We start from the raw sequence: 19416 nt of genomic DNA, 5'->3' as shown, positions 1-19416 counted from the left end.
TATATGAGCGAATTCATGCCTGTATATAGGAGAGGAAATAATGTGGAGACTGTGAACAGGGAGGCACTAAAAATAACAATATGGATATTTACTACAAAATAAAGCTTAGCAAGTTTCACATTAATATATTTCAAGAAGGCATTACATTAACATTGAAAATCTACACTAGCCTATCTGTGTGTCAAATCCTAAATTGAGAAATTAGGTCAGTGTTAATAAAATAAAAATGCCATAATGTTCGCAATTTCATAATCTGAAAAATAAAGATGCTGTTTCTAACTTTTTTTGTTTTGTCTTGTTTTTGAGCCAGGATCTTACTCCATTGCCCAGGCTGGAGGCTGGAGAGCAGTGGAGCCACTGGGGCTCACTGCAGCCTCCACCTCCGGGAGCTCAGGTGATCCTCCCACCTCAGCCTCCCAAGTAGCTGGGATTTCAGGCATGTGCCACAGTGCCCAGCTAATTTTTGTATTTTTTTGTAGAGATGGTATGTTGCCATGTTGCCCAGGCTGGTCTCGAACTCTTGAACTCAAACCATCTACCTACCTCAGCCTCCCAAAATGCCAGATTACAAGCATGAACCACCATACTGGCTTAGGTTTCTAACTATTTAATATGATCATGACAATACTTTGAAATAATGGTTGATTGACTTTTATTTTCATTTTTAAGGGAACAAATTGTATCAAAATAATGTTTTGTCTGGCAGAGATATTTATCTGTAGCTGAATGAACAAATGAAATGCTACTGCATGCCAACCTTTTTGTTTGTATGATGGGGGTGACTGTGAGAAGAGAAGGTGATATTCTATATGTTGGGTATAATAATATTCATCTTCTTCTAGGTGATCAGATCTTCTGAAGACCTACCACTTATTTACTCACTCAATCAGTAAGTGGTGAATTTAAATGCTGAAACAGTACTACTCAACATACCTTCTGTGAGTCAACTGTTATGAGCAACACCTGGATCTCATTAGAAATGCAGAATACGAGGTCCCATCCAAGACTCAGTGAGTAAGAATTTCCAGAGTTGAGCCCAGGACTGTCTACCTGCTTTAACAAGCCCTCCAACAGAATCTCCATGTACTAGATTTCGAGATGTGCTAGGCTGAAGTATGTGCATCCTTCAGAAATCAAAATCTTCTGGATTCATTTTACATTTAATCGTCCTTCACTATTTCCCTTTAGTACTATCTCTACTAGAAAGGTAAGTTTTTTAATAATTTTCCCTTTGCCAGAGATTCCTACAAGCCCAAATTTCTCCCACAGCCTTAGAAACACCTTTGTTAATTCTTGGGTCTTCTCCATCTAATTTGTATAATTTTACGTCTGATACTCTCCATCCTTTCACACCAAATTAGTCCCTATGGTTCCAGCTTCCAATGGGTGACCCACATCTCTAAGATCTGATACCATTTGCTCATTTTGTCCTTGTTTTAGTTCTTTGCCATGAATGCTTATCACTAGTTGCCACACTGTCCACTGTTCGGCTTATCAATTCTTGCATCACCTGTATAACTCATTCCCTCCATTAAACTCTGCCATTTTAAAATACTTCATTATTTTTCTTTTACAGTTTGAACACTTACTGAGGAATGTGCTAAATAACTTTTTTCTTCTATCCTGTATCTTTCCTCTTTACTTTCCCTCTTATCTGTTCTAGCACTTTCAAAAATCTGGACTTTGGGTTAATTTTTTTCATACTCTGATTCTACCACTTTTTATCTATGTGACCTTGAACAAGTTACCATCCAGAACCAGTTTCCGCAACCGTAAAATAGGGATAAAATTATCTACATCTTAAAAAGCAATGTAAGAATATAGTGGTTAAGCTTAGTGGGGTGCATTTAGAGAAAACAGGCAGAACTCAAACCCTGCTTTCATCCATTTCTAGCCGTGTGATTTAAGCAAGTAATTTGATATGTGTCAGCCTCAGTTTCCTCCATAAAATGTGTATAATTATTGTAAAACTCCCATAGACTATTTTGAGGACTAAAGGAGATAACAGATATAAAACATTTAGTAGGATATCTGGTACCTGCCAAATACTCAATACTTACTACTACCATCACCATCACCATCATTATCATAATTATCATGGTAATTATATACTAGAGATCACAATGAAGGTGGTACCCTCTTTCATTTTCTCCTAAACTGTTTTCTCTCTCCCATCTACTTCTTTTTAACCATTTCTATTTCTATTCTTCTGAACTACTCAGAAAAATTGTAACAAAGTTGGCTTACATTTTTAAACTTATCTAATGAAGCTCTTTTCTACATAATTTTGAAATCAGGCAAAACAAAAGATAGTACAATATATCCATAATGCCACTATTCATAGTCCAAAATAGATGCCTATTATAGTAGAAGGAGAAATAACCTGTAATATATTCACATAGTAGAATATTATACAGCAATGAGAATGAATGCATACAACTACATGCAACAATATAAACAAATCTCAGAAATATAATGTTGAGCCAAAGCAACTAGATAAAAGAGAGGACATAGTGAATGATTCCATTCACACAAAGTTAAAAAACAGGCAAACCAATCTATGATGTGAGAAGTCAGAATAATGATTAACCTTGGTGACTGGAAGACAGTATACAGGATGACCTCTGGGGAGCTGGTCATCATCTGTTCCTTGACCCAACTGCTTATCACACAAGTGTACTCGCTTAGTGAGAACTCATATATCTGACCGCTCATATCTGTACACATTTATCTATATATGTTTTAACTCAACAGAGAAAAAAAGAGCAAGTGGACTAATTATTCTTTAATATTACCTCCAGAAAAAATGCAACAACTTTATATTTATGGCCATAAAATTATTTTCCCTTTCAATATAGGAACTCTTTCAATAGGAACAAAATATACTTCTCGTTGACTACAGGGCTACTGCTGAATTTCTATTTAATTCTGTGGCATGTGAATGAAATCAGTAACAATTGTCATTAATTGCCTCTCACAGTTCTTAGGAAAAATAATAATTGTGTAAAATGATTGGAGTATGGCAAAAAAACATTGAACTTCAAGATGGCAAAAAGCAGTTTCTTGTCCCAGTTCTTTTGTTGTCCTATTAAATGCTTCATGAGAACACTTGTGCTTGAGTTTATCTGTAACGTATTAATGATGATATCATATGACTACCTGTCTGGAGCTGTCAACAGAAACAAATGAGGTGGTCCACGTACGAACTTTTTGAAAGGTGAGTGTGCTGTATAATCCAAACATTAACATAAGGAACAAATGTTTGTAGGACCTTTCATACTGCACTCCCTTCTTACCTTTTTTTTTTTTTTTCTACAGGAACACACCTGCTAACATTGTCACTAGTTGTTTATCTTATTATCTAATTCAAATATCACTTGCTCTTTATGTTTTTATAAACCTCCCATCTCTCCTCCAAAGAGGAATTAATTTTTATATATGTTCTCAGTAGAATGGATAACTTGTTATAATTCATTTTAGGCCTTTTTTTGATGCTTCTTGCAGATAAACTCTGGCTTTTTCATACTAACAGATGCCTAACAAAGCACAGAATGGGGCTTAATATATGTTGTATTGAGATGATCTCAGATTTTCTTAAATAACTTTTAAACACTTAACTGATTTGCTACATTTTTGTTATTTGTACACACTCTGTGATATGTGATTTTTAAATTTATGTAAACATCATCTATACTTTCTTTACAGAAGGTATGAAATCGTGAATACATCACACCACCCAGAAATCCCCCATGGTGCGCTTTACAATGCAACAGAACCTCATAGTTCCCATTGTATACTCTTTCAATTATAATAGATGAAATACTTGAAAATGCTTGGTAGAAATACCATAGAAGTTATAATGACCTTTGCAACAAAAGGAGTAAATCTAGTGGCATTTTAGAGTTTTCTTATAATTGGATGTTTTCTTTTTTTTTTTTTTTTTTTCTATTTTGACCTTAGTTTCCCCAGTGTATGCCATTTTTAGGCTCCAATAGTTCAGAGAAACTGCAATTTCACTGAGACTTGACCTACAGAATCAGAGATTCAGGATTCTAGTCACTTTGCTGAGATGGATCCAAGGTATAGAAAGAAGTCAGATGTCAGCCCAAAGGTCAGGCTGCAACAAAAGTGCTTACCTTGAATGATTTAGCTATGATATGAGTTTACTCTGTAACATAAGTAGCATGGTTGGGCAGTGTTCAAGAACCTGGCTGTATAATGAAGAAAGGAGAAAAGACAGAATTTAGCCCAAATGTGATGAAAGCCAATTGACATGAAGACAATCATCACGTTCATCTTGGTCCAGTAAGAATTTGATATTCACTCTGATAGGAGATTTGCAATATGACTCCAGTTAAGGTGGCAATTTGAAACTCTCCTGCTTTGACTTCTGGAACTTGCTTCTGCCAAATCAGTGGTGACTTTCAGGTATAGGCCTATGGCTGGAAACTAAAATCAGAAGACTCCAACCTCCAGCTCTGAGAACCTACACTGATAGCTCCATCCAACTTCAACCACAAGTAGTGGGTCCAAATCACAACACTCCAATGATGGATTACACTGTCTCTGTCTTTTGCAGCACTTTGTTCAAAGATAAAAGATTCTCTGCAGTGGTGATGAGGGCTAGTTCACTCAGCCCTTAGATGCAGATTCTGAGAGATAGAGTACACATAACTTTTAGATAACAGGTGCTTTTAAAGAAAATTTGATTCTTTGAAATTAAGTTAAGGTTTGTTTTATATAATTTGCAGTCAATTTTCATAAATCTCATGTGTGTTTCAAAGAAATGAGTATTCTCTATTTGTTGCCTTTAGGAATCTATGTATCTTCATTATATCATGACTGTTAATTGTTTTTCACATGTTCTATACCCTTCCTAATGCTTTGTCTGCTTGATCTATCAATTACCAGAATAGGTATTGCAGTCTGCCCCTCTGAATTCATATCACATGCATATAAATTTTAAGTTACTAAACTTCCCTCCGTGAAATCAAGCTCTTATCATTGTGTAGTTACCTTCTTTATCTTGAATAATTATTCTAATTTAAGGTCGATTTTCCCTGATAATAATATAAGTAAACCAACTTTCTTTTGGTTAGCATTTGCCTGATTTATCTTAGTCCATCTTTTTACTTTCTATTTTCCTGTAACTTTCCTTATATTCCTTAGGTATTCTGACCACGTGTGTCTTTTGGCTAATGAATTTATTCCATTTATAATTTATTTATGTTTCTTTATATGCATTTATATGTATATATAATATATATGTATTTCTTCCATATAGTTATTTACTTTTTGTTACTTTTTATATTCTGCTTTTGTTCTTTCAACTGTTTTTGTTTTTGGTGGTTGTCTTAGAAAATTAATTTGCAAATTTATAAAGAAAACAAGATTGTAAGAAAGGCAGAGGAAATCAAATAATAAACATGAAGATGAAATTAATCAATAAAAATGAAATAAAACATTGTCAGTAATAATAGACATAAAGGAAATTAAACATTATCAGAGAATAATATTCTCAATTATGTTTTAAGAAAGCTAAAATAAATATCCATGAAGTATATAATTTCCTTGGGAAAATATCATTCCAAAATTATTCTAAAAGAAGGAATAGTCTGAAAAATATTAGTAATATAGGCAACAAACATTATTAAATAATTATCTCCATTCAACACAATTCCTTTCAAATTACCAACATCAGTTTTCACAGAATGAGAAAAAACAATACTAAAAATCATATGGAATTAAAAGATAAAGAGTCCAAACAACCAAACAATTCCTAAGCAAAAGAACAAAGCTTGAGGTATAACATTACCTTACTTCAAGCTATACTACAAGGCTATAGTAACCAAAACAACATGGTACTCGTATAAAAATAAATGCATAGATTAAGGGAACAGAATAGAGAGCTCCAAAATAAAACCACATACCTACAACCAAATAATCTTCAACAAAGTCAATAAAAATATATAACAAAGTAAGAAAACTATTCAATAAATGATGCTGGGAAAATTGCATATTCATATGCAGAAGAATAAAGCTGAGCCTCTATCTTTCAACATCTACGAAAAACAACTCAAAATGAATTAAAGATGTAAATGTAAGACTTGAAACTATAAAAATCCTAGGATAAATCTTAGGAAACACCATAATCAACATGGACCTTGGGAAAGAATGTATGAATAAGTCCTCAAAGGTAAGTGCAACAAAAACAAAAATAGACAAATGATACTTAATTAAACTAAAAAGCTTCTGCACAGCAAATGAAATAATCAATAAACAGACAATCTACAGAATGGGAGAAGATATTTGAAAACTATGCTTCTGACATAGGACCAATATTCAAAATATGCAAGGAACTCAACTCAACAAGAAAAAAAATCAAATAACATTATTAAAAAGGGGGCAAAGGACATGAACAGACATTTCTCATAAAAAAGACATACAGGTGGCCAGCAGACATATGAAAAATGCTCACTACTAATTGTCAGATAAATGCAAATTAAAATCACAATGAAATACCATCTCATACCAGCCAGAATGGCTATAATTAAAAAGACAGAAAACCACAAATGTTGGCAAGGATGTAAAGAAAAGGAAATTCTTATACACTTGGTGGGGATGTAAATTAGTACAGTTTCTATGGAAAACAGTATAGAGATAGATCTAAAAGTAGAACTACCATTCAACCCAGCAATCCCATTACTGGTTATATACCCAAAGGAAAATAAATTGTTATATGAAAAAGACACCTGCACTCATATGTTTATCACAGTAGTATTCACTATAGCAAAGTCATGAGAGAAACCTCAGTATTCATCAATGAATGATTGGACAGAGAGAATGTTGTACATATACACTATGGAATACTATTCAGCCATAAAAAATAATGAAATCATATATTTTGCAGCAACATGGATTAAGTTAGAGGCTATTATGCTAAGAAAAATAAATCAAAAACAGGAAGGTAAGTAGGATCTAAACAATAGGTACATATTAATATACAAAAGGAAATAACAGACACAAAAGAATTCAAAAGGAGGGAGGATAGAGAGATTAGGGTTGAAAAAGTAGCCACGTGGTACAATGTTTGCTATTCGGGTAACGTGCACAGTAGAAGCCCAAACCTCACCATTAGGCAACATATCCATGTAACGAATCTGCATATATATCCCTGAATCTCTAAAAACTAAAAAATAAAACAAAATAATGATTATCTTCAAATAAGCCTTTGGTATCAGACCACTTTATATTGAGGGTTTTTGTTATTTATTTACTGCATGTTAAAGGAAAAGCTAATTCAAATGTAATATAAAATATATCAGCACATATTAAAAGATAGAAAAATTTTCAATTCCTGCAATAGGATGGCATTATTTTGATACCAAATCCCAGCAATAATAAAAGAAATAACTCTACATCCATGTCCCTTATAAATATAGATGCAAAAATTTAATAAATAGAATTCAACTTTAAAAATAATTATCATGATCAAGCATGATTTATTCTAAGAAAGGAAGGCTGTCGTGATACTCAGAAATATCGTACTCAGAGAATAAAATACATAAGAGCAATAAACAATATAGGGAATACAACAAAATTATATTTTGAGAGGGTAAAAAGACATTTTGTAAAAGTTCACAGCAACGACAGATGGCAAATATATTGATCCATTCTGGAACTGCAAGCACAATGATTGATGATGAGAATGCAGGTTAGTTTTGGAAGACAAGGGTAGGGAGATAACAAGGGCTATCTCATAAGAACTCATTAACAAAATTTTTGTTTCAGTCCTTCATTCACTATTTAATTTTTAATTTATTTTTAAATTAGCAAATAAAATTGTATTATTTATCATGTGCAACATGATGTTTTAAAAATATGTGTTCATTGCGGAATAGCTAAATTGAGCTAATTCACATATGCGTTACCATTCATGCTTATCATTTTTTCGTGAGGAAAACACTTAAAATCTACACTCTTAGACATTTTCAAGAATACAATACATTTTTACTAACTATAGTCACTATGTTGCACAATAGATCTCCAGAAGTTTTTCCTCCCATTCTGACTAAAATTTTAAGTTCTTTGACCAACACCTCCCCCACCAAGACCCCTACTGGCCCCTGGTAGACACCATTCTACCCTCTTCTTCTGTGAGTTCCCATTTTTAAAATTCCACATTTAACTGAGATCCTGTGGTATTTATCTTTCTGTTACTGTCTTATTTCACTCAATGTAACATCCTTCATGTTCATCTATGTTGTTGCATGGAAAAAAATTTTCTTCTTTCTAAGACTGCATAGTATTTTATTGTATATATACACTATATTTTCCTTATCCATTTATTTACTGGTGGACACTTAATTCCATATTTTGGCTATTATGAATACTGTCGCAAGGAATATGGGGGAGCAGATACCTCTTTGATATATTAATTTCATTTAGATATAAACCCAAAAGTGAGATTGCTTCATCATATGGTATTTTTACTTTTAGTTTTTGGAGGAGATTCCATGTAGTTTCTAAAATGATTGTATGAATTTACATTCTCATCAGTAGGATACAATAATTCCCTTTTCTCCACATCCTTTCCAAAACTTGATATCTTTCCTCCTTTTAATAATAATAGCCTTTCTGAGAGGTATCAGATGATATCTTAATGTGGTTTTAATTTGTACTTTCTTAATGATTAGTGACATTGAGCATTTTTAAATTTACCTGTTGGTCATTTGCATATGTTCTTTTGAGAAATATCTATTTAGGTCCTTTGTCCATTTTAAAATTATTTTTCAATTGACAAATAATAATTGTACATATTCATGCAGTATGTAGTCGATGTTTTGATACATATAATGTATAGTGATCAGATCAGGATAATTATTAGCATATTTATCATCTCTAACATTTATTATTTCTTTGCATTGGAAACATTCAATATCTTCTTTGTAGCTCTTTGAAATTCTATAATATATTATTTTTAACTATAGTCATACTCTGGTGGTATAGAACACTAGAAATTATAGTCATACTACAGTGGTATAGAACATTATATATTATTTCTTCTATATAGTTTTAATTTTGTATTCTTTAATAAATTTCTCCCGATCCAGTCCTTCCCACTACCCTTTCCAGCCTCTAGTAGCCTCTATTCTACTTTTTACTTCTATGAGATCCAGTTATTTTTCTTAGCTTTTACATATAAGTGAGAACTTACGGTGTTTAACTTTCTTTTCCTCATTTATTTCACTTAATATAATGTCCTCCAGTTTCATTCATGTTGCTGTGAATGACAGAATTTCATTCTTTTAGGGCTGGGCGCAGTGGCTCATGCCTGTAATCCCAGCGCTTTGGAAGGCCAAGGTGGGTGGATTACTTGAGGTCAGGGGTTCAAGACCAGCCTGGCCAACATGGAAAAACTCCATCTCTACTAAAAGTACAAAAATTAGCCAGGCATGATAGCACATGCCTGTAATCCCAGCTACTACGGAGGCTGAGGCAAGAGAATTGCTTGAACCCAGGGGGCAGAGGTTGCAGTGAGCTGAGATTGCACCACTGCACTCCAGCTTGGGTGACAGAGTAAGACTCCATCTCAAAAAAAAAAAATTCATTCTTTTATATGACTGAAAAGTGTTCCATTGTGTATATACAGCACATTTTCTTTAGCCTTTCATCTGTTGTTGGACACCAAGTTTAATATGTCATGGCTATTGTGAATAGTTCTGCAATAAATATGAGAGTGCAGATAACTCTTCAATAGCAAAACCAGACAAAGAGACAACAAAAAAGGAAAACAACTGGCTAATATCCCTAATGAACACAGACACAAAAATCCTCGACAAAATACTAGCAAAGTCCAACAACATAAACACTGATCAAGTAGGATTTATCCCAGGGATAAAAGGACAGTTTAATACATGCAAATCAGTAAATGCCATATGTCACATCAATACAATGAAGGAAAAAACATATGACCATCTCAATAGATTCAGAACAAAACTTTTAATAAAATTTAATGTCTCTTTTTTAAAAACTGCTATTTGAGATTTAGAGGTACACATGCAGGTTTTTTACATAGGTAAACTCATGTCACGGAGGTTTGTTGTACAGATTATTTCATCACCAGAGTACTAAGCCTAGTACCCAAGTGTTATTTTTTCTGATCCTCTCCCTTCTGCCACCCTTCATCCACAAGTAGTCCCCAGTATCTATCATTCCCCACTTTATGTCTATGAGTTATCACTTAGCTCCCACTTATTCATGAGAACATGCAGTATTTGGTTTTCTGTTCCTGCATTAGTTTGCTAAGGACAATGGTGTCCAGCTCCATCCATGTTTCCACAAAAGAAATAATCACATTCTTTTTATGGCTGCATAGTATTCCATGGTGTATATGTACCACATTTTCTTAATCCAATCTGTCATTGATGGGCATTTAGATTGATTCCATATCTTTGAACAGTGCTGCAATGAACATTCACAAGCATGTGTCTTTATGCTTTGGGCTTTCTTCATCTAGACCAAATCTACTTCCAATAAGAGGGCTTTCTCTTTTGACCACTGTCTTCACTTACTGCAATGCATCCTTTCTTGATAAAACTTTTATAAATTAGGTATAAAAGAAAAGTATGTCAACATAATAAAGACCACTTATGAAAAACCCACAGTTAACATCTTACTGAAAAAGCACTGGAATGAGCCAAGGATGCCCACTGTCATCATTCTTATTCAACATATTACTGGAAGTCTAGCCAGAACAGTAAGGCAAAATAAAGAAATCAAATAATTCATATTGTTAAACTGATAATACTACCCAAACCAATCTATTCATTCCATTTAACTCCTATGAAAACACCTATGTCATTTTTCACAGAAATGGGAAGAAATCTAAAATTTGTGTGGAACCACAAAATACCCTGAATAGCCAAGGCAATGCTGAACAAAAATACCAAAGCTGGAGGTACCACATTTCTCAACATCAAACTATACTACAAGGCTACAATAACCAAAACAGCATGGTATCGTTACAAAAACAGACACATAGATTAAAGAACCCCGAAATAAAGCCACATACCTATAACCATCTGATGTTTGACAAAGTTAACAATAACAAGAAATAACAATAACAAGAAGAAAAGACTCCTATTCAATAAATGGTGCTGAGATAAATGGCTAGCCATATATGCAGAAGATTAAAACTGGACACATTCTTTCAACATATACAAAAATTAACTCAAACGCTGGATTAAAGGCTTAACTGTAAAACCTAAAACTATATAAAACCATAGAAAATATCATTCTGGACATCAGCCTTGGTAAAGATTTCATGACAAAGTCTCCACAAGCAATTGCAACAGAAACAAAAATTAACAAGTGGGACCTAAGTAAACTAAAAAGCTTCTGTGTAGCAAAAGAAACTATCAACAGAGTAGACAGACAACTTACAGAATTGAGAAAATATTTGCAAGCTATGCATCCTACAAAGATCTGATATCCAGAATCTATAAGGAACTTAAACAGTTTAACAAGCAAAAAACAAACAATTCCATTAAAAAATGGGTGAAGAACAAGATGCTTCTGAAAACAAAACATACTCATGGCCAGCAAGCATATAAAACAATGCTCAACATTGCTAATCATTAGAGAAATGCAAATGAAAACCACAATGAGATAACATCTCACACAAGTCAGAAAGGCTATTATAAAAAGTGAAAAAATAACAGATGCTGGTGACGTTGCAGAGAAAACAAAATATTTATACACTGCTAGTGGGAATGTAAACTATTTCAGCCACTGTGAAAATCAGTTTAGAGATTTCTCAAAGAACTGAGAACTACCATTTAACCCAGCAATCCCACTACTGGGTATATAACCAACAGAATATAAATCGTTCTACCAAAAAGACACAAGCACCTGTATGTTCATCACAACACTACTCACAATAGCAAATACATGCAATCAACCCAAATACTCATCCACATTGGGCTGGATAAAGAAAATATGGTATTTATACACCATAGAATACTATGCATCCATTAAAAAGAACAAAATCATGTCCTTTGCAGCAATATGGATGCAGCTGGAGACCATTATCCTAAGCAAATTAATTCAAGAACAGAAAACCAAACACTGTATGTTCTCACTTATAAGTGGGAGCTAAACATTGAGTACATGTTGATACAAAGAGGGGAACAATAGACACCACAGCCTACTTGAGGGTGGAGAGTGGAAGGAGGGTGAGGGTCGAAAAATTACCTATTGGGTATTATCCTCATTATCTGGGTGACTTAATTATTTGCACACCAAACTCCAGTGACACGCAATTTACCCTTGTAACAAATGTGCACTTGTACCCCCTGAACATAAAATAAAAGCTGAAAAAAAAAATTAAAAAAATAGAAACATGGGGAAAGAGTGAAATCAAGGAATTTTAAAAGTGGGTTGGGCATAAATTTATGAATATGCTAAAAGTCTAATGAGAGGAAAATGATTAAATAAGAAAAGATAATTATACAATACTTTGCATAAAAGAGTCACTCAAATATTTGATGAATAGGTGAATGAATAAATGAATTAACTGCTAGAGCAAGATCCATGGTTGTCTACTGTTTTGGATTATCCATTTTACCATAAAACTTTATTAACCTAGATCAAAAGTTAAAATATGCACTTTGATTCAGTTACAGATATAACTTCCAAACCAGAAAATATTTCTAACTGGTTCCTCTACACAATATTAAGTCTATAGGCCCTCGTCTCTCTGTCTTATACTTGACATTTTAATGTTTATCATCTCAATATTTATCATGTCAAATGTTTATCATTTGAAACGCCGTTTTATTCATTTTACTTTCTCAAAAGGGCATACACAGTCCTGTGCCTTATGCACAATAGGCACTCAATAAATATTTGTTCACTCACTTCCTTCAGAATCACTCCAGATTTTCTCATTTATCAGTTGAATATAGAGTGATTATTTCCTGAGTGAAAACCCAAAACCCAAAACTACTAAATTATCTAAATTGTTCAACAAATGAATTGTATTTTTATACTCAAGAAGCTATGTGCTATCTATTGCCAGCCACTCTTTTTACATGACTGATGAACAAATATGCCTTATGGTTGCACTATCTCATTGGTAGAATCATTATGTTTTCAATATATGATTGGAATATAGTCATGGACATTTTATGAAGTTCAAAAGTTAAGAAAAATATGGCCATAATGAGAAAGGAGTGGCAAAAAAGTCTTCCTTTATACATATTTTTAAAACATATTATAAATGCAGTCTTTGTTGACTAAATAGTAAAACATTTAGAATCTTTTCTCTATTCATTGAATCTTCTCATGCTTTGAATCCTTTCGTCTTACACACATGGGTAAGTATGAATGCAGAGTTGTTTCTTTTTTAAATGAAGCAGATTTTTTTATACCATATCTTCCCTTGAGCATGTTTACTTTCCCAAGGTTGATTTTCTCCTGTTGCTCACTCTCATAAAAGGTATAAAGAATGAGATCTTGTATAAGAGATTTAACTATGTTAAAGGAAGAGAAAGTTTTTCTCCTTACACAGTAAACTGCAACATCAGTTTCAAATATATTTATAAAAATGATTAGGGAAGCTCTGGTCTATATTAATTCTAGTTCATGAACAAGAGTAGTAATCAAATGAAGTTATTTTGGTTTTTGTTGTATACCAAATTTGCTATAAATTTGGCTCAAAGGCAAATTTAGCATTATATGTACATCCTCCTTAGCTAGTGCCATGCACATAAAAAGAGTAAATTTAAACCCTGAGGTAAAAAATATGTGAGATGTTTCTGTTTCTATTTTATCTTAATTCCTTTTTCAATGTAGAATATGATAGGATATTACAGATGTTACATATAACCAATAATAAAATTTAAATTGAATAAGACAAATTAATGCTACTATTTATTTATATGATCAAATAGAATTTTATACAATTATTCACTTTTTATTTGAGCTCAGAAGTAAGAAATCATGTCCTACATGTATATTGTAAGATATTCCATTCTGCTTCTAAGCCATATCGCCTCAGAAAACAGGAGTTTTGGCAGTCAGGGTTCTTGTAGCTGTAAGAACTTGGCCAAGTTATTTAGTCTTTCTAAGGCTCCATTCTCTTATTAGTCAAATGAAAAATTTGGGCAACAATTCCAACTTTTTCCTCTCTCAGGATCTAGGTGAATGTTGGTTGATGAATCTTTTGAGCCTCTAGATTTATAATTTTTCTCCAACTCCTTTTCTTCTCCTTACAATTTATTTGTTGAATAAGAAAGTTCTGGATTTTACTGATGGCATTCCTGTGATGTTAGCATGTCCCTTGTCCCTGCATTTCCTGAAAAGTGCTAGTTAGATGTAGACTTGATCAAACTTTAATTTTGTGGCAACAATATTTTGGTGATAATATTGTGATTTATAAGAGGCACATAATGTCTTTTTGCTTTTTTGTGTGTGATGTTAGCAACCATTGATAATCTTTGGCAAGAATCATAATTTCTACAGAGGTTTTTAAGTTTGTTCTGAATTAATAGTTTAAAAATATATGGTGTCATTGTTAAGAAACTGTTTATGCTCAATATAATGTAGCTTCCTCTTTTATTATATAAAAGCTACAAATTTCTATTTACTTCTCAAGATTTTTGGTCAATAGAAAATATCAACAGAAACGAAATAGACAGAAACACAAGATGTTGCATATGTGGTTTTAAAAGAAAAATAATTTCCAAGTTCATTAAAGATAAGAAAGGCAGATAAGAAAATAAAGCAGCAGGACACACTCAAATTACTTAATTTTGTTATGGCCAGGGGAAGCATGCTTATTTGATAGCTTTTCATTCCTGGAAACCAAATAAAAATACATAAGTAGAAAGAGGTCAGCATTCCTGTCTTAGCTTATTTGCTGCTGCTATAACAGGATATCTGAGACTGGATACTATACAAGGAAAAAATTATTTGGCTCACTGTTCTGGAGTCTGGAAAGTCCAAAAGCATGGCACTGGCATCTGGTGAGGGTCTTTGTGCTGCATTATCTCATAGCAAGAGGAAAAGACAAGAGAATGCATGTGAAAGAAAGAAGGGGCAAAAAAGCAAGGAAGAAAGGGAGGGAAACTCAATCCTTCTTCTCAGGAAACCACTCCACAATAATGAAATTAATCCATTCGTGAAGACAGAGCCTTCATGTGATTATCTAATCACCTTTTAAATTTCCACTTCTCAACACCACTGCATTAGGGATTACGTTTTCAACACATGGTTTTTGAGGGACTTATTCAAACTGTAGAAATTTCTAAATGCTTTCCTGAGAAATTCAGTGAATTAGCTTTTCCAAAAAAAAAAAAAAAAGGCTTGAAAACTGTTCTTTACTGTGCTGCAAATCTGAGTGAAATTTCCATCCTCAACCCTAACAGAAAGAAAGAAATACTTACCATACGCAGCAATTAAATTTGTGAGGAGAGGAGACAGCCTTCTAGTTAGGCAGCACCGGAAAACTTCTCCAGAGGAAAGAGCACATGGAAATGAAGTGATAGTCCACCATAATGTCAGCACCCAGGGCAAAAGAGAAGGCTTGTCATAAGATTTCTGCATTACAGTGAGGGAGAACTCTTGTGTCTTTGGAGAAAGGAGTGGTAGAGCTGGAGCCATAGCATAAATGTCTAAGTTTATGAAGTGGAATAAAGGATCTGCTGTCATGATCTAAAGCCATTTGTGCAGCAAGTAATTACATATGACTTTTCTCTTAGACTATGCCTATGTGATCTTTTGGCTTGTAGAGTAGCACATTAGACATAGTTCCAGAAGGAGCAGTTTCATCCAGAGAGTGAAAGTAAGTCTGCATCTAAAGTATAAAACACTAAAATAAGCAATTACAGATTGAGTAGGAAGAGAAAACATAGGTCTCAATAAGGGAATCATAGAAAATTCTAACAGGAAAATTCTGACATGAGATTTTCTGTTTCAAAACTTTACGTAGGTCGGCCGCGGTGGCTCAGCACTTTAGGAGGCTGAAGTGAGTAGGTCACTTGAAGTCAGGAGTTCGAGACCAGCATGGCCAACATGATGAAACCCCATCTCTACTAAAAATACAAAAATTATCCAAGTGTGGTGGCGGGTGCCTGTAATCCCAGCTACTCTGGAGGCTGAGGCAGGAGAGTCACTTGAACCAGGAAGGCGGAGGTTGCAGTGAGCCGAGATTGAGCCATTGCACTCCAGCCAGGGTGACAGAGCAAGTCTCCATCTCAAAAAAAAAAAAAAGTTTATGTAAAATATGTTTGTAACTCTGAATACATTTTTTAATAGAAAGCAAGGTTCATACAATGATGAAGTTACCAGGCAGCCTAAGAGATGATGATCTTAGGATTAGCTATTTCTTTTATTATTCATTCATTGATTCATCAAAAGTTTGATCTCCTACTATGTCTAAACACTGGAGATGCAGAAGCAATTATCAATTCCTAATTATCTACCACTGAAACAACTTGATACTGCACAGTATCAGGTATAATTATATTTTCCATCTGTATTTCAATGAAAATGTGCTATAATACAAATAGTCAAATATGTTATAGATAACCAATGGTTGAAATGTCATCCTTGGTAAAGCACTTTTTAATGGTTTCCTGCAAATAGAAGAGTTTCTCTAGTTTATTAGCAAGAAGAGAGGTTTGGAGACTGTAGTCAGTCTTGCTATTTGGTGGCAGTAGGGGTGAATGTGAGTGAGCTGATGAAAGAATAGGTAAAACAGTAAATTTCCAAGTTTCTGAATCTAAGGAAGAAGAGGTAATCTTTTCTTCTTGACCCTCAAGACTCTGAAATTGGATGACCATTATCTTTGACTAAAGCCATGTATGAAGCAATGGGCCAAAGAAGCTAACAAACCTTCATAATAGACACATTTGTGTTCCCTTTCCTCCTGACAACACAAGGTGCTATGGTCGGAATATGTCCTCCAAAGTTCATGTGTTGGAAGCTTAATCTCCAATGCAACAGTGTTGAGAGGTAGGGCCTAAAAAGAGGTGACTGTGTCATGAGCACTCTGCTGTCATGAATGGATTAATGTCATTATCTTAGGAGTAGGTTAGTTTTTATGGGAGTGGGTTTGTTATAAAAGTGAGTTTAACCCTCACTTGCTCTCTTTCCTGTCCACTTACACTCTCTCCCCATATGATGACTTCCACCATGGGAGTGACATCGTAAGAAGGCCCTCATTATATGCCAGAACCTTGATATTGGACTTCCCAGCCTTCAGAACTGTCAGAAATATTTTTTTTCTTTATAAGTTACTCAGTCCTTGGTATTTTGTCACAGAAACAAAACAAAGACACATGCTACATACACAATTACAACTTTTGGATGTGATTCATCTACTCAGGACACCATCACTCACTTTCAACAACCACATTGTACATAGTTATAAAATTTATTTTAAAACTTTACTATCATTTGCTCTTCATCTTTCTTCTCCTTGGACCAGTGATGAACATCAAATTGAATGTTTCTCTAGAGAGTGATTTTGTCACTATTTGATGCTAAGAGTTCTTCAATACTTTGAACATCCATTTCAATAAATCCAGACTCTTTAGCAGGATCTATGATTTTAAATTTTGATTCAATCCCTTTTATATTCACACTTCTCTCAATAGCTCTTATTATTTCCAAGTTTCCTATTAATCTATACAATTTTCTAGGTCTCTTAGACTCACCTACTCTCTTAAAGAGCCTTTCCGCCTGCTTGGACGATACTTATATAAACACAGGAGAATAATAGAGACTATATTAAAACCATTAGAAACACAGGAGAATAATAGAGACTATATTAAAACCATAATAAACACATGATAATATAGTACCCTACATTAAAACAATAATAAGACATGAAATCCTCGTGGAAAAACAGCTATATTAAGAATCCAATGGACTCTGCAACCTCTCATCTGGAACTCATGTGTAACTAAAATATTTTCAGTAGCATATACATACATATTTATTACAATAGATTATTTTGTGTGGTGAGTAAATTTCAAGTAAAATTTTTTGCAAGTTATAATATCAAATATTCAGAAACTGAGAGTTCTGATTATTAGGACTATGTGTCCTTAAAATCAGGCACACAATGAATTTACCCTGAACAGCTTAAAATCTGATCATTTTTAGTTTAGGCAGTAATAATACTTGCTCATATGTCACTACTAAAATCCATATCTCTCACAAAAATTAGGTTGCTTTCATCATGAAAAACTGTGATTTAAAATAGTAGGCAACTATATAGGTTTCACAGAAGCTAACCAGTGACCATACTACACTAAACAGATATAGCTCAATGACACTTGCACTGGGCCTACATTACATAAAACCACGTATTTGAAAAAAATTTAAAATTATCTTTTCTTTATTTTTATCAGATTGGATTAGTTCAAAAGACCATTCTTTGAGTTCTGAGATTCTGCTTCATCCAATCTATTGACAAAGCTTTCAGTTGTACTTTGAAATTTTTTAAGTAAATTTTTTAATTCCAGAAGCTCTGAATGATTTCTAAGATGTTTATCTCTTAATTTATTTCCTGGGTTGCTTTAGAAGTGTCTTTGTGTTGATTTTAGACCTCATCTTGGATCTCAATGACCTTCCTTGCAATTCATGTGTTGAATTCTTTATCTGTTATTTCTGAGTTTCCATTTTGGCTAAAGACCATGGCTGGAGAACTAGTATCATCCTTTAATGGTGTCACTACATTCAGACTTTTCATGGAGCTCAAACTCTGTGCTGGTTTCTTCTCATCTAGAGATGCTGGCACTTCTAATTTTTGTAATGATTTTAGTGTGAATATTATTTTTTTATTTTTCTTTCTTTCCCTTTAATGTTATTAATTTTTTTCTTTACCTTTTTGTTTCCTCCTCTCCCTAGGGAATGTGATTGTAGAAAATGCTGGGTAGGGTCTTTGGCTTTGCTTCTATAATTCTAGGCATTTCTTTCATCAGGTTTTGTATTGGGATATGCAGTTTGTGCTACAAGCCCATAGATGGTACTTATAGGTATGAGCTGACTACAGCCAACATGGTTATGTATATACCTGATCCTTGTTTAATCAAGCAATGGGCTGACTGGTGGAATGCATAGTGGTCTAAGCTCCCTGCTCATCTCTGGGGTAGAAAGGCAGGACCCACGAAAAGTAGGGCCAGACTGGGCAGGTCTGCCTGAAAGTCCTCTAATGGCAGGCACAAGAACCAGTGCCAAGGGAGAATCTACTGGGTGGCTGCCAGGTACCAAGAGGTAGGCCTAGGTATGGAGCTGGGCAACCTCCTTTGCTCCAAGTTCCCTGCATAGAGATCAGGGCATAGCCTAAGCTCCTATTCCAGGAGAGTTGTTGCTATAGGTGCCTGGAGATATGCCTGGTTGTGG

Source organism: Homo sapiens, chromosome 3, assembly GCF_000001405.40.
Source record: "Homo sapiens chromosome 3, GRCh38.p14 Primary Assembly".
Classification (NCBI taxonomy): domain Eukaryota; kingdom Metazoa; phylum Chordata; class Mammalia; order Primates; family Hominidae; genus Homo; species Homo sapiens.
Note: the sequence above shows the minus strand (reverse complement) of the source record.